The following is a 15,009-nucleotide window of genomic DNA, read 5'->3' as shown; positions in this document are numbered from 1 at the left end:
CAACAAAGGTCAATTATACTTACCAAAATGCCGATGAAACCAGATTGTGAAGCAAAAACCTGTAATCCTGTAAATTTCACTATTTTAAAGCCAGACTTACCCACGTGGAGTGCAGGTTACCCCATACATGTCTACGTACACACATACCCAGCAACCTTCGTATACGTTATCAAAAAGAGAACCCGGACCCATCTGGCCCAGCAAGCCACAAAAATGAGGAACACTATCTATCAGAACAGATTAGCTTTAGACTACCTCCTAGCCCGGGAAGGAGGAGCATGTGGAAAGTTCAATCTAACATATTGCTGCCTGGAAATCGATGACAATGGAAAGGCAATTATGGAAATAACTGCAAGAATGAGAAGATTAGCCCATGTTCCAGTTCAAACTTGGAAAGGGTGGGCTCTAGATTCTTTGGAGGCTGGTTTTCATTTTTTTGGAGGGTTCAAGACTTTAATAGGAGTGGTTCTGGTCATACTAGGAGTTGCTTAATACTCCTTTGTCTCTTACCTCTCCTTGGTAGAAGCACTCAATCAACTATAGAGGCAATAATAGCTAGGCAAACTACCAGTCAGCTAATGGCTATGCATAAATATCAACCTTTGTCTAAAGAAGAAAACTTGTCTCTACAGGCAGAGCTAAGTAATAGTAATGCCTTCTATTAAACTTATTTTATAAAAGGCATCAAAGGGGGTAAACTGAGGCAGACATTTACAAATAAATATGCATTCATTCACTCTAAGAAAAGTAACAGGAAAGGCAAGGGTTAAAAAGAAAAGAACAAGTGTTCCTCTGCCTAGCAGGGGAAAGCGCAGCAAGCTCACTTCAAGGACAATTATAAAATAACACTGTTTAAGAAGCCAAGGCCAAAGGAATGGGCTCCAGACGCCCCCTCTCCAGAGCAAGCTTGAAGGGAAAAAAAAGGAGAAAGACAAATTCTTTTACTGTTACTCCTTTCCCAGGCTTCTTAAGCATGATTCTGTTTTACAAATGTCTCTATTTAGCCAGTTCATGTTTTTCTTTCAATGCAGCTACAAGGCCACTGGCTATGCAAGGCCACAAGTTATGCTGTGCTATAGATTATGTGACCTATCTATGATTAACTGCTTTTGTTTTATTTATTGTAAGTCCGCTTATAAAAACCCCGCTCTGTCTTTGTTTAATGCTCAGCTTTTTGGATATGAATCTACTGGGCTGATGCGTACTTAAAAATAAACAATCCTCTTGTTTCTCTCATATTGGCCTCTCCTTTCCTCAGTTTACCTCAACAACAGGCTCTTGCTCTACCACCAAGGCTGGCGGAGTGCAGCGGTGCTCACTGCAGCCTCAAACTCCTGGGCTCAAGCAATCTTCCTGCTTCAGCCTTCCAAAGCATTGGGATTTCAGGTGTGAGTCACCGTGCCTGGCCTTGAAGGCCGCTTTTAAGAAAAGTTAAGCACCTTGAAATATTTAATAATGCTTAGGCCAAAATAATTCAATTTCCAGGTAACTATACCCACCTGCTATGGGTAATAATTTCTCTTTCCTTCCCATCCCCATTTAGCAAGTCTTCGTCCTTTCCTTTTGCTGTGTGGTCCTTACAACTCTCAGCTCACAAACTCCATATGCAGGAAAGCTGTCCTTCTTTACTTTCTTTCAGATATCTTGTACTTGGTTTCTGGCCCCTCATCTTGCTGAGATGGGGGCCCAGGATTCATTTTCAGTCATTGCTGGGGCTTTCCCCACACCAAATGTGCCAGGTCTTACAGTGACAAAGGACGAGTGGCTGCCTCAGTTTTAATCATCTGCCACACCAGAAGTCTCCACTGTCCTGGCCCACAAGGTCCCTTCAAGTCCTGTGGCTCTGATGCTTCTTTGTCACTTGTGGGTGAGGGAATCTTGACTGGGACTGGGAGCCCTGTGTCTGGAGTCCTTTCCGTTGTCTCTGGGGCATATCCTCCTGGTGCTGATTTGAAGGCGGGTGAAGGACAGGTTTGCAGAAAACACTTTCTCCCCTTCAGGATTGAGAAGAATATTTCCCCTTCCTCACCCCACTGTGTTCTCTCTAAGGTGCTGCTCCTCTCTCCTGTTCCTGACACCCAACATCATCTCCTCATGGGTTTAGACTTTTACAAAAGGCAGTGAGAGCTGTGGACTTCTGCTCTTTGCTTAAAATGGGAGAATTTAAATACACAGAGAATAATTTTGTAGCTTGAGAAAGGTACCTTTGGCCGGGCGAGGTGGCTTATACCTGTAATCCCAGTATTTTGGTAGGCCAAGGCAGGTGGATCAACTGAGGTCAGGAGTTCAAGATCAGCCTGACCAACATGGAGAAACCCCCATCTCTACCAAAAATACAAGATTAGCTGGGCGTGGTGGCACATGCCTGTAGTCCCAGCTACTCAGGAGGCTGAGGCAAGAGAATCACTTGAACATTTGTGGCAGAGGTTGCAGTGAGCCGAGATCGTGCCATTGCACTCTAGTCTGGGCAACAAGAGCAAAACTCCCTCTCAAAAAAAAAAAAAAAAAAAAAAAAAGAGAGAAAGCTACCTTGCTGTAAGGTATCTGATTACCAAATAAAGCAAATAGAGGTCACATTGAAGTATGTATTCCCTGAAAGAAAAAAGCAAATAAGAAAAGACACAAAGCTGGGTGTGGTGGCTCACACCTGTAATCCTAGTATTTTGGGAGGCTGAGGTGGGAGGATCACCTGAATCAGGAGTTCGAGACCAGCCTGGCCAATGTGGTGAAACCCTGTCTCTACTAAAAATAAAAAGAATTATCTGGGCATGGTGGTGGGCACCTGTAATCCCAGCTACTTGGGAGGATGAGGCAGGAGAATCGCTTGAACCAGGGAGGCGGAGGTTGCAGTAAGCCGAGATTGCACCACTGCATTCCAGCCTGGGCAACAAGAGTGAAATTACATCTCAAAAAAAAAAAAAAAAGAAAAAGAAAAAGAAAAAGACACAAAGAAGGAGAGATAGAAAGCTGTGGGACTTCAGCACTGAGTTTGGGGCCATTTTAAACAGTGAAATTTCCAATAAAAAGCACAACTATGTGAAAACCAAGACACTAGATCAACTGTAAAAAAGAAACTGAGCCATGTTCACACCTGTAATCCCAGCACTTTGGGAAGCTGAGGCAAGAGGGTCCCTTGAACCCAGCAGTTCGTGACCAGCTGGGGCAACATACTGGAGACCTCATCTCTACAAATTAAAAAAATTAGCCAGGCGTGGTGGTAAACGCCTGTAGTCCTAGCTACTTGGGAGGCTGAGGTGGGAGGATTTCGTGAACCCTGATCTCACCACTGTACTCCAGCCTGGGGAACACAGCAAGACCTTGTCTCAAAAAAAAAAAAAAAAAAGACACTTATTTACAGTATGAGAGCTGAAACAAGAAGGTAAAGCATTGCTTTGTTCCACTTGAACTGAATGTGCATCTCACGTGACTTAAGGAAGACTTCAGGAAGCTCTTTGACCAATATTGGGTCTGTTGCCTGTTTTATTTACCCTATTTGAACAAATCAAAGCAAATCAGCACATAGGGTTTTCTTTAGAAGAATTATTATTTATAAAGTTCTTCAAACATGAACAGCTGTTGTACACGTGCAGATCATCATATTATTGAATGCAAAAGTCAATGACAGCTATACAGATATATAATAGTATTAGTTAGCATTTGTTGAACAATTACTGTATTATATTCTAGGCACCCTATTAAGTGCTTGGAACACATGATCTCAATCCTCAAACAAATTTGTGCATTAAATACTATTACTGTACTCAGATTACAAATGTGGAAATTGAGGCAGATAAATTAGTTATGTAACTTGCCTAAAGCTGAACAGCAGGGCTGAGCACGGTGGCTCACACCTGTAATCCCAGCACTTTGGGAGGCCAAGGTGGGTGGATCACCTGGGGTCAGGAGTTTGAGACCAGCCTGACCAACATGGTGAAACTCTGTCTCTACTAAAAATACAAAATTAGCCAGGCGTGGTCCTGTAGTCCTGTAGTCTGTAGTCCCAGCTACTCGGGAGGCTGAGGCAGGAGAATTGTTTGAACTTGGGAAGTGGAGGTTGCAGTGAGCTGAGATCACGCCATTGCACTCCAGCCTAGGCAACAAGAGCGAAACTCTGTCTAAAAACAAAGCAAAGCAAAAAAGCTGAACAGCAAAGATCTTTCTGCTCCGGAAGCCAACTCTTAACCGCTGTGCCATACTGCCTCTTGGCTGCAGAGGTGTCTTATTAAAATGAGATTGAGGTGAAAGGAAAAGTAGAGGGACAGTAGTACTTTCAGGTTATCAGGATTTACTGAGAGCCCACTGTGGGCTCGTGCCCATGCTTTTACCCAGAATGTTAAAGTAGACAAATTTTTTTTTTTTTTTTTTTTTTTTTAAGAGACAAAGTCTCACTCTATCTCCCAGGCTGGAATGCAGTGGCACGATCTTGGCTTACTGCAACCTCTGCCTCCCAGGTTCAAGCGATTCTCCTGCCTCAGCCTGCCAAGTAGATGGGATTACAGGCACATGTCAACACGCCCGGCTAATTTTTGTATTTTTAATAGAGACGGGGTTTCACCATGTTGGCCAAGCTGGTCGCAAACTGACTTCAGGTGATCCGCCTGCCTCGGCCTCCCGAAGTGCTGGGATTACAGGCGTAAGCCACCTCGCCCGGCCCCCACTCTAGTTCCTAATGTCTGCTATCAGTTACATACTAGGGCTGCATTCTTGCCTTTATTGACAAGGTGACCTGGGACACCAGTAGGACAACTTAAGCTGTTCATACAGCTATTGCAATGAATTTGCTTTTTGTTCCTTTGCATTTACAAACATCTGGAGGAAACAAAGAGAAAGTAAGCAAGCGGGAAGATTTCAACACTCTGCTCTCATCTCCCCCTTTTCACTTTTATTTTTATTTTTTTTTGAGATGTAAGTCTCGCTCTGTCGCCCAGGCTGGAGTGCAGTGGCTAGATCTCAGTTCACTGCAAGCTCCGCCTCCCAGGTTCACGTCATTCTCCTGCCTCAGCCTCCCGAGTAGCTGGGACTACAGGCGCCCGCCACCACGCCCGGCTAATTTTTTGTATTTTTAGTAGAGATGGGGTTTCACTATGTTAGCCAGGATGGTCTCGATATCCTGACCTCGTGATCCGCCTGCCTTGGCCTCCCAAAGTGCTGGGATTACAGGCGTGAGCCACCGTGCCCGGCCTTATTATAATTTTTAAAGAGGGTGCCTCTTTGAAAAGCAGGGCACAGTAGAAACCAAATGAGTATTCCGAACTCCGCAAGCAGATTTTCCCCCCAGTACCGGAAGGCACAAACCCAGATCAAATCTGGTCTCCTGGCTCTTTGCGTATCTCTCTGAGTACCTGAATTATTCGTTTCTCCAGACTTTCAAAACCAAGGGTTTAGTTTCTTTTCTGTGTTGTCCTTCTTGCCCCTGCTGGGCTGTGGTTGTTAAATAAGGCTGCAAGAAAAATAGCCCCTAACTTGGACAGCTAAACAGCCACATAGCATCTGGCTTTTGCAAACACTTTATGAGCCTATGTTCCCTGGTCCTGTGTTACTGAATGAAGACCTCACTACTCAGTTCATGCTGGTTTACCTGCAGAATATGCAAAGGAGGAGGTTGCTACTTTTTTTCTCCTCGACCCACTGATCCTTTGCCTTATTTCCTTAGTAAGCTGCCTTTAATCAAGTAGTTAGCATAGAAATAAAAATAAAGTGTGTCTAGAAATAGTGGGTTCTTAGTCTCACTAACTTCAAGAAGGAAGCTGTGGACCCTCGCAATGAGTGTTACAGTTCTAAAAGTGGCGTGTCTGGAGTTTGTTTTATTTGGATGTGTTCAGTTTTCCTTCCGGTGAGCTTGTCATCTCGTTGGCCCAGAAATAAAGGTGCAGACTTTCACAGTGAGTAACACACCTCTTAAAATAGTGCCTCTGGAGTTGTTCGCTTTTCTCAGCGGGTTCGTGATCTACACTGCTCTCAGAGAAATTGCAAATCTTCACCAAAGAGCATTACAGCTTATAAACACAGCATAAACCCAGAGAACAGCAACCAAATTTGTTGCAAACAAGAAAACAACTAAAGCCTCCACATTATCGAATACAATCCAACCAGATTGCCGCTGTTAGTTCGGGCAGCCTGCTTTTATTCTATCTGGCCCCACCCACATCCTGCTGATTGGTCCATTTTTCAGAGAGCCAAGTGGTCTGTTTTGACAGGGTGCTGATTGGTGCGTTTACAATCCCTGAGCTAGACATAAAGGTTCTGAGAGGTGACAGCGTGCCGGCAGTCGTCATAGCCCTCACTCGCTCTGGGCGCCTCCTCTGGCTGGGCTCCCACTTTGGTTGCACCTGAGGAGCTCTTCAGCCCACCGCGGCACTGTGGGAGCCCTTTTCTGAGCTGGCCAAGGCTGGAGCTGGCTCCCTTAAGTTTGCAGGGAGGTGTGGAGAGAGAGGTGCGAGCGAGAACCCGGGCTGCGCGCGGCACTTGTGGGCCAGCTGCAGTTCCGGGTGGGCGTGGGCTTGGCTGGCCCGGCTAGCCCCAGGCAATGAGGGACTTAGCACATGATGCAGGACTGGCAGGCAGCTCCATTTACAGCCCCGGTGTGCAGGCACACGGTGCGGGACTGGCAGGCAGCTCCACCAGCAACCCCGGTGTGCGATCCACTGGGTGAAGCTAGCTGGGCTCCTGAGTCTGGTAGGGACATGGAGAACCTTTTTATGTCTAGCTCAGGGATTGTAAATACACCAGTCGGCACTCTATCTAGCTCAAGGTTTGTAAACACACCAATCAGCGCCCTGTGTCTAGCTCAGGGTTTGTGAATGCACCAATCGACACTCTAGCTACTCTGGTGGGGCCTTGGAGAACGTTTGGACACTATAGCTAATCTAGTGGGGACGTGGAGAACCTTTGTGTCTAGCTCAGGGATTGTAAACGCACCAATCAGTGCCCTATCAAAACAGACCACTGGGCTCTACCAATCAGCAGGATGTGGGTGGGGCCAGATAAGAGAATAAAAGCAGGCTGCGCAAGGTGGCTGTGAAAGTTTTTCTTTGGTTTCTTAGGTTCAACTTTGTTTTATATGGATCTGTAATATTCACTAGTAAAGGTCTGCGACTTCACTCTTGAAGCCGGTAAGACCAGAAGCCCACAGGAGGAAGGAACACCTCCAGTACGTGCTGTCTTAAGATCTGTAACACCGCGAAGGTCTCCAGATTCAGTTCTGAGCTTGCGAGATCAGAAACCCACTGAAAGAAACTCTGGACGGGATATTGTAACAGCTGAAACACACAGGGCGAGTGTCTGCGGCTTCATTCTTATAAGCCATAGAGGCCACCAGTTTCGGACACAGTTCTGCACGTCCCCACTAGAATAGCTAGATACAGTGTGGATTGTTGCATTCACAAGTCCTTAGCTAGACACAGGGTGCTGATTGGTGTGTTTACAAATCTTGGGCTAGATAACGGAATGCTAATTGGTGTAGTTACAATCCCCTAGCTAGACGTAAAGGTTCGCTAATTCCCCACCAGGGTCAGAGGCCCAGTTGACTTCGCCCAGTGGGTCCTGCACTGGGGCTGCAGGTGGAAGCTGTCTGCTAGTCACTCACTGTGTCCCCGCACTCCTCAGTCATTTGGGTGGTCAATGGGACTCAGCACCGTGGGGCAGGGGGCTGTGCTTGTCGGGGGAGGCTCGGGCCACACCTAAGCCCACATAGTGGGGTGGGGAGGCTAGGCATGGTGGGCTGCAGGTCCTGAGCCCTGCCCCGCGGGGAGGCAGCTAAGGCCTGGCGAGAAATCGATTGAGCGCAGCGCCAGTGGGCCGGCGCTGCTGGGGGACCCAGCACACCTTCCGCAGCCGCTGGCCCGGGTGCTAAGCCCCTCTGCCCGGGGCCGCCAGGGCCGACAGGCCGTTCCGAGTGAGGGGCCTGCCGAGCCCACACCGAACCGGAACTCGCGCTGGCCGGCAAGCACCCCGCGCAGCCCCGGTTTCCGCCCGCGCCTTTCCCGCCACACTTTCCCGCAAGCTGAGGAAGCCGACTCCGGCCTTGGCCAGCCCAGGAAGGGGGTCCCTTAGTGCAGCGGGGGGCTGAAGGGCTCAAGTGCCGCCAAAGTGGGAGCCCAGCCAGAGAAGGCGCCGAGAGCGCGTGAGGGCTGCCAGCAAGCTGTCACCTCTCAAATGGATACTAGAGTCTGGGAAGGGTAGGAGTTTTTCCTTGCCTGCTGCCCAGATGGAGCAGATTTATCAAGACGGGAACTGCCAGAGAAAAAGTTTAATTCACGCAGAGCTGGCTGACTGGGAGACGAGTTTTATTACTGAAATCAGTCTCCCTGAAATTTCAGAGTCTAGGGTTTTCCAAGAATAGTTTGGCAGGCAGGGGAATGGGTGCTGGTGATTGGGTGGGGATGCAGTCACAGAGGTGTGGAAAACGGTCCTTGTGCGCTGAGCCCGCTTTTAGGTGGGGGCCACAGGACAGCTGAGTCGAGTTGGAGGCCCCCCTGGGAGGAGTCATTAGGTCCTCAGAAGTGTGAAAGCCTGAAAAGACAATCTGAAAAGTGTAGCTGCTGTAGAAAACGGGATGGAGGTTCCTCAGAAAATTAAAAGCAGAATTACCATATGATCCAGCAATTCCACTTCTGCGTATATACTCAAAAGAATTAAAAACAAGGTATCTGGAGGTCGGGCGCAGTGTCTCACGCCTGTAGTCCCAACACTTTGGGAAGCTGAGGCAGGTGGATCACCTGAGGTCAGGAGTTCGAGACCAGCCTGGCCAACGTGGTGAAACCCCGTCTCTACTAAAAATACAAAAATTAGCCAGACGCGGTGTTGCGCGCCTGTAATCCCAGCTACTTGGGAGGCTGAGGCAGGAGAATCACTTGAACCCGGGAGGTGGAGGTTGCAGTGGGCCGAGGTTGCACCACTGTACTCCAGCTTAGGCAGCAGAGTGAGACTCCGTCTCAAAAAAAAAAAAAAAAAAAAAAAAAAAAAGTAGGTAGACAAGAAACAGCCCTGAGTAGTGCTAAACTCAAGTTTCCCATTCTTCGGGAGAACTGAATTCCATTTCAGTTTATACCAGAGGTCACACGCTTCCATGCTTATCAGGGGCAGGCAGGAAACATGCATGAGTCAGCTGACTTATACCAGTTGGTTTTGGTATAAGTCATCCTTTCCTGGCCACTTCTGTTAAGCTTGGAGGAAAATAGACAATAGGGTTGAGGGTATTTCAGAGTCACTGTCAGTGTTTTCTGGACAATTTATGACTTTGAAGACAGTCGTGGCCAGTAGACAAGAAAAGCATTTTTGGCATAGATTTTTACTCACAGGTCTGTGTTTTTCAACTCTTTATTGCTCCTCCAGGGAACATTTAGTAATGTCTAGAGACATTTGCGGTTGTCACGACTGGACGGGATGGGGGGCGATAGTGGCTTCTGGTTGATAGAAGCCACGGATGCTGCTGAACAGTTCACAGTGCACAGCACCGCCCCACAACAAAGAATTACATAACCCAATCGTCAGTGGTGCCAAGGCTGAGGAACCCTGCCTTAGGTAGATGAGACTGTCATCTTCAAATTTTTGGTTCAAGTATTCCTTCAAAATTTTATAAAACTATTTATTCTTCTACATACTTTTAATCGACATCAAAAATTTTTAATCATAAGTTTGTCAATTTTAAAAGATGTAATTTCAGCCGGGCACAGTGGCTCACGCCTGTACTCCCAGCACTTTGGGAGGCCAAGTTGGGTGGATCACCAGGCCACGAGATCAAGACCATCCTGGCCAACATGGTGAAACCCTGTCTCTACTTAAAAAAAAAAAAAAAATTAGCTGGGCGTTGTGGCGGGCGCCTATAGTCCCAGCTACTTGGGAGGCTGAGGCAGGAGAATTGCTTAAACGCGGGAGGTGGAAGTTGCAGTGAGCCAAGATCATGCCACTGCACTCCAGCCTAGCGACAGAGCAAGACTCCATCTCAAAACAAAACAAAACAAAACAAAACAAACCCGTGTGATTTCTAGCTGATTTCAAGCCAAATTGTTTTGAAAACTAATACCATGACTCCTTGGGGTCCACCCCCATTTGCTTAAAAAACACGTGAAAAAATTCTACTTTTAGAGTTGAAATGTTGTATTGTTCATTTTTGTCCTTGACCTTCTATTTTCACATCCTGAAACCAGCTTTGCAAAAATTATAACAGACAATTATGACAGTGAAAGAGATCTGACCTAACCGACTCCATGTTGCTTCTAACCTCCAAGCTGTCCTTGTTCATTCCTGGGCAGAGGATCAACTAACTTTGGGAGGAGCTCAGTTTATAGTTTAACTTTGAAACAAAGATGATAACAGGCTGGGCACGGTGGCTCAGGCTTGTAATCTCAGCAGTGTGTGAAGCCGAGGTGGATGGAGCACTTGAGGTCATGAGTTCAAGACTAGCCTGGCCAATATGGTGAAACACTGTCTTTACTAAAAATACAAAAATTAGCCAGGCGTGGTGGCGGGTGACTGTAATCCCAGCTACTCAGGAGACTAAGGGAGGAGAATCACTGGAACCTGGGAGGTGGAGGTTGCAGTAAGCTGAGATCCTGCCACTGCACTCCAGCCTGGGTGACAGAGTGACTCTGTCTCAAAAAAACAAAAATAAAAACAAAAACAAAAAACAAAGATAATGACAGCCATTTCCAGAAACAAACCGCCTTCCCACCCAGATCAATAAACTGCCTTATAATAATAAAACTCCAGTAATATTAAAACTCCAATCTCCCATTCAGCTGCTCTGCATGAATTGGACTCTTTATTGCAATTCCTCTGCCTTGATAGATCAGCTGTATCTGGGCAGCAGGCAAAATGAACCCATCGGGTGGTTACAATCCCCCTCAGGAATTTATCCTGGGGTGGTTCATTTCCAGCTTTATGAAATAAATTGCACTGGGATAAGAGGCTTTTCCTGATCATCCTATCACACTTCTCTGCCATAAAAATCCTATAAATTGGCCAGGCGCCATGGCTCATGCCTTCAATCCCAGCACTTTGGGAGACTGAGGCAGTTGGATCACCTGAGGTCAGGAGTTTGAGAACAGCCTGACCAATATGGTAAAACCCCGTCTCTACTAAAAATACACAAATTAGCTGGGCATGGTGGTGGGAGCCTGTAATCCCAGCTACTTGGGAGGCTGAGGCAGGAGAATTGCCTGAACCCAGGAGGTGGAGGTTGCAGGGAGCCAAGATTGCGCCACTGCACTCCAGCCTGGGCAACAGAGAGAGACTCCATCTCAAAAAAAAAAAAAAAAAAAAAGAATCCTATAAATTGAAATTAATGTTTCATTATTTCCTGTGACTATAATGATTTAATTGTTAAAAACTTTTTTTGGGGGTTGCTAATAGTTACAACTTTTATTAGAGACAACTGATCAAAACGACTTAAGTAAATTACGGATATACATAATTATTAAACATCAGAAGTAAAATTTCTTTAAGAGGCACCTTTTATTGGGTGCATCTTGGGCTGGATTATACTCGGGTGCTTGATGCAGAACAAGCGCATTTCTTGCTCACACTATTGGTCCACCCAACAAGATGCTTTGCTCATCAGGGTTACTCTGGGACCCGGGCTTCTGCAGGCTTCCTCTCAATGTCTGCACCCATGATCACTGAGGCAGGAGAAATGGAATGTGGCTGCCTGGAAATGATACATGTCACCTCCATGTATACCTCATTAGCCCATGCCAGTCCCAGGGCCAAATCTAACTTCAAACACAGTTGGGGAAGTGCAAACCTTCCATATGGTCAAAAGGGAAGAACTGGAATTCAGGTGACGCCCTGCATAGATAAATGGGGCTTCCCTCCCACTTCCCTTCTAATTCATGTATTCATGAATGAATGTTTATACTTTTTGAGGCAGGGCCTCACTCTGCTGTTCTGGATGGAGTGCAGTGACACAATCACAGTGCACTGCAGCCTTAACTGAGCCCCCGGCTCAAGTCATCCTCCCACCTCAGCCCCTTGAGTAGCTGGGACTACAGGCGCTCGCCACCATGCCTGGGTAATTTTTGTATATTTTTCGTAGAGATGGTGTTTCGCCATGTTGCCCAGGCTTGTTTCAAACTCCTGGGCTCAAGTGATCTGCCTGCCTCAGCCTCCCAAAGTTCTGGGATTACAGGTGTGAGCCACTGCACCCCGCCTGAATGAGTATTATTTATTGCTAGGATGAGAGAGTTCAGAAGTGATTTTATTCCTATTATTGTGTTTGTCTTTATAGATAGAAGTTATGAGAAACTTCGGTCACAAAGAGAAATGTCACTCAAGGGCCAGGCATGATGGCTCATGAGTAATCCCAGAACTTTGGAAGACCAAGTGCTGGAAGATCGCTGGAGCCCAGGAGTTTGCTTGGGCAACATAACAAGAACCCATATCTACAAAAAATTTTAAAAATTAGCCAGGTGTGGTTGTGTGTAATTGTAGCCCCAGCTACCCAGGAGGCTGAGGCTGAAGGATCTATCCCTTGAATCCAAAAGTCCAAGGCTGCAGTGAACTATGATTGTGCCACTACGCTCTAGCCTGGTCAACAAAGTGAGACCGTGTCTCTAAACAAACAAACAAACCCCAGAGAAATATTCCTTAATTCTTTGAACTCTTTCTGAATTATATGTTAAAAGTCTAATGGCGATCTGTCTATAACAAGCATTAACTTACAACGATCTACCAGCTAACACCTTGGTCATGTCCTTCTTTTTCATTGAAAGCAAAAATTTAGAAATCCAAGTTGCTAAATGATTTGTACCCAATGGTAAAATGCATCTCTTTTCCCGATACTCACATGAATATTTCAAAGAGCATCCAGAGATTCTATATGCCAGAGCAATGCAACACCATGAAGATAGGTTGGGCACGAGGGATACCTTTCTTTTGGGAAGCTGAGAACCTTATCTGTGCACTGATAAGAGGGCATGGATGAAAAAAAAATTGACTTTCCATCACTGGTATTCTCAGGTCAGTTTCAAAAAAGAGAGTGGATGCAAGTTGAACATATTGATGGAAATGGATTCCCTTTTATTATTTATTTATTTATTGAGATGGAGTCTTGCTGTCACCCAGGCTGGAATGCAGTGGCGTGATCTCAGCTCACTGCCAACCTCTGCCGCTGGGTTCAAGCAAATCTCGTGCCTCAGCCTCCAGAGTATCTGGGATTACAGGCGCACAACACCATGCCTGGCTATTTTTTTTGTATTTTTAGTAGAGACAGAGGTTTCTCCATGTTGTCCAGGCTGGCCTCAAACTCCTGACCTCAGGTGATCTGCCTGCCTTGGCCTCCCAAAGTGCTGGGATTACAGGCGTGAGCCACTGCGCCCAGCCACCCAGGGGTGCATACACCCCATTGTGAAGCCTGCAGTATTAAAATTTAATACCTGAGCCCATGAGAGGACAGATTTCAGAAATTTCTCTCTCATAGTTCTGGAGAGTAGGAAGTCTGAGATCATGGGTCCAGCTGATTTGATTTTTGGAGAGGGTTCTCTTCCTGGATTCCAGACAGATGCCTTCTTGCTGTGTCCCCACAGAGTAGGGAGAAAGAGAGGAAGAGAGAGTCAGAGAAACAGAGAGAGAGATAAAGAGATAGATAGAGAGAGGGAGATAGAGAGAGGAGACAGAGAAAGAGAGCTCATGCTAGCTCTCTGGTGTCTCTTAAAAGGGCTAGGCTGGGCATGGTGGCTCACACATGTGATCCCAGCACTTTGAGAGGCCAAGGAGGGCCGATCACTTGAGGTTAGGAGTTCGAGACCAGCCTGGCCAACATGGTGAAACCCCATCTCTACTAAAAATACAAAAATTAGCTGGGCGTGGTGGCACGTGTCTGTAATCCTAGCTATTCGCAAGGCTGAGGCAGGAGAATCACTTGAACCTGTGAGGCGGAGGTTGCAGTGAGCTGAGATCAGGCCACTGCACTCCACTCCAGCCTGGGCAACAGAGCAAGACTCCATCTCAAAAAAAAAAAAAAAAAACAAGAAGATTAAACAAGATAATGGATGTATATCAGGGGTCCCCAATCCCTGGGCTGTGGACTGGTACCTGTCCATGGCCTGTCAGGAACTGGGCCACATAGCAGGAAGTAAGTGGACGAAGGAGCATTACCACCTGAACTCAGCCTTCTGTCAGGTCAGTGGCAGCATTAGATTCTCAGGAGCACAAACCCTATTGTGAACTAGGTTTTGTGCTCCTTATGAGAATCTAATGCCTGATGATCTGTCACTGTCTCCCATCACCCCTAAATGGGACCCTCTAATTGCAGGAAAACAAGCTCAGGGATCCCACTGATTCTACATTATGATCAGTTGTATAGTTATTTCATTATATATTACAATATAATAATAACAGAAATAAAGTGCACAATAAATGTAATGCTCTTGAATCATCCCCAAACCATCCCCCATTCCTGTCAGTGGAAAAGTCGTCTTCCGTGAAACTGGTCCCTGGTGCCAGAAAGGTTGGGGACTGCTAATGTCATAGTCTTTATGACTATGCCCAGCACATAGCATTTAATAAATGGAAGCTGTAATATAATAATATATCATTATTATTTTATATGAAAATAAACTCAGATGTATGAACGAGTATTGTGAAAATGCGCATATGTGTTAAAGATAAAACACGGACTTCATTCAGATTCCACGGTCCCCATCTTGGGCTTCTTCCACCGAGACCCCTGGAAGAAGCAGCGTTTGCCATCCTTGGGGAAGCTCTAGTATAAGCCTTTTCCTTATGTTAAAATGCCAAAACCTCTGTGAAAAGTAAGGATATTTATTTAGTGTGTCTCTGATCTTTACCTGAGCTGAAATTTTGTCGGACACAGAAGAGAGAAAGCAAGCATGAAGGTTCTGTGAGCTGGGGCAGGGACTGGGGAACCCACGGGTAGAGAAGGCAATTTGCAGCATGAAATAGAGAAACTCCAAGACTTACACCCCACTTTTCCCATTTCTCGGTGTGACCCAGGGTCTTGTCTCTACCTCTGTGTTTTCTCACCTCTTTTGTTGCATTAGTCAAATGCTG

At 46.3% G+C, this 15,009-nt stretch overlaps 4 annotated features.

Annotated features, from left to right (window-relative positions):
* Window positions 1-369: a transcriptional cis regulatory region, noted in NCBI's record as "candidate enhancer chr6.848 targeted for multiplex CRISPR interference". NCBI's record gives its function as "positively regulates GMPR gene expression with high confidence in K562 cells {active_cell/tissue: K562}" and the evidence as "EXISTENCE:mutant phenotype evidence [ECO:0000015][PMID:30612741]".
* Window positions 7,093-7,315: a silencer, noted in NCBI's record as "fragment chr6:16217722-16217944 (GRCh37/hg19 assembly coordinates)". NCBI's record gives its function as "represses an EF-1alpha promoter that drives an FKBP-Casp9 reporter gene in an ReSE screen in phorbol 12-myristate 13-acetate-treated (for megakaryocytic differentiation) K562 erythroleukemia cells {active_cell/tissue: K562(+PMA)}" and the evidence as "EXISTENCE:reporter gene assay evidence [ECO:0000049][PMID:32094911]".
* Window positions 8,863-9,549: a transcriptional cis regulatory region, noted in NCBI's record as "candidate enhancer chr6.847 targeted for multiplex CRISPR interference". NCBI's record gives its function as "positively regulates GMPR gene expression with high confidence in K562 cells {active_cell/tissue: K562}" and the evidence as "EXISTENCE:mutant phenotype evidence [ECO:0000015][PMID:30612741]".
* Window positions 9,774-9,950: a silencer, noted in NCBI's record as "fragment chr6:16215087-16215263 (GRCh37/hg19 assembly coordinates)". NCBI's record gives its function as "represses an EF-1alpha promoter that drives an FKBP-Casp9 reporter gene in an ReSE screen in K562 erythroleukemia cells {active_cell/tissue: K562}" and the evidence as "EXISTENCE:reporter gene assay evidence [ECO:0000049][PMID:32094911]".

This window comes from Homo sapiens, chromosome 6 (genome assembly GCF_000001405.40).
Source record: "Homo sapiens chromosome 6, GRCh38.p14 Primary Assembly".
In the NCBI taxonomy this organism is placed as follows: domain Eukaryota; kingdom Metazoa; phylum Chordata; class Mammalia; order Primates; family Hominidae; genus Homo; species Homo sapiens.
This window is presented reverse-complemented; position numbering and strand designations above follow the sequence as displayed.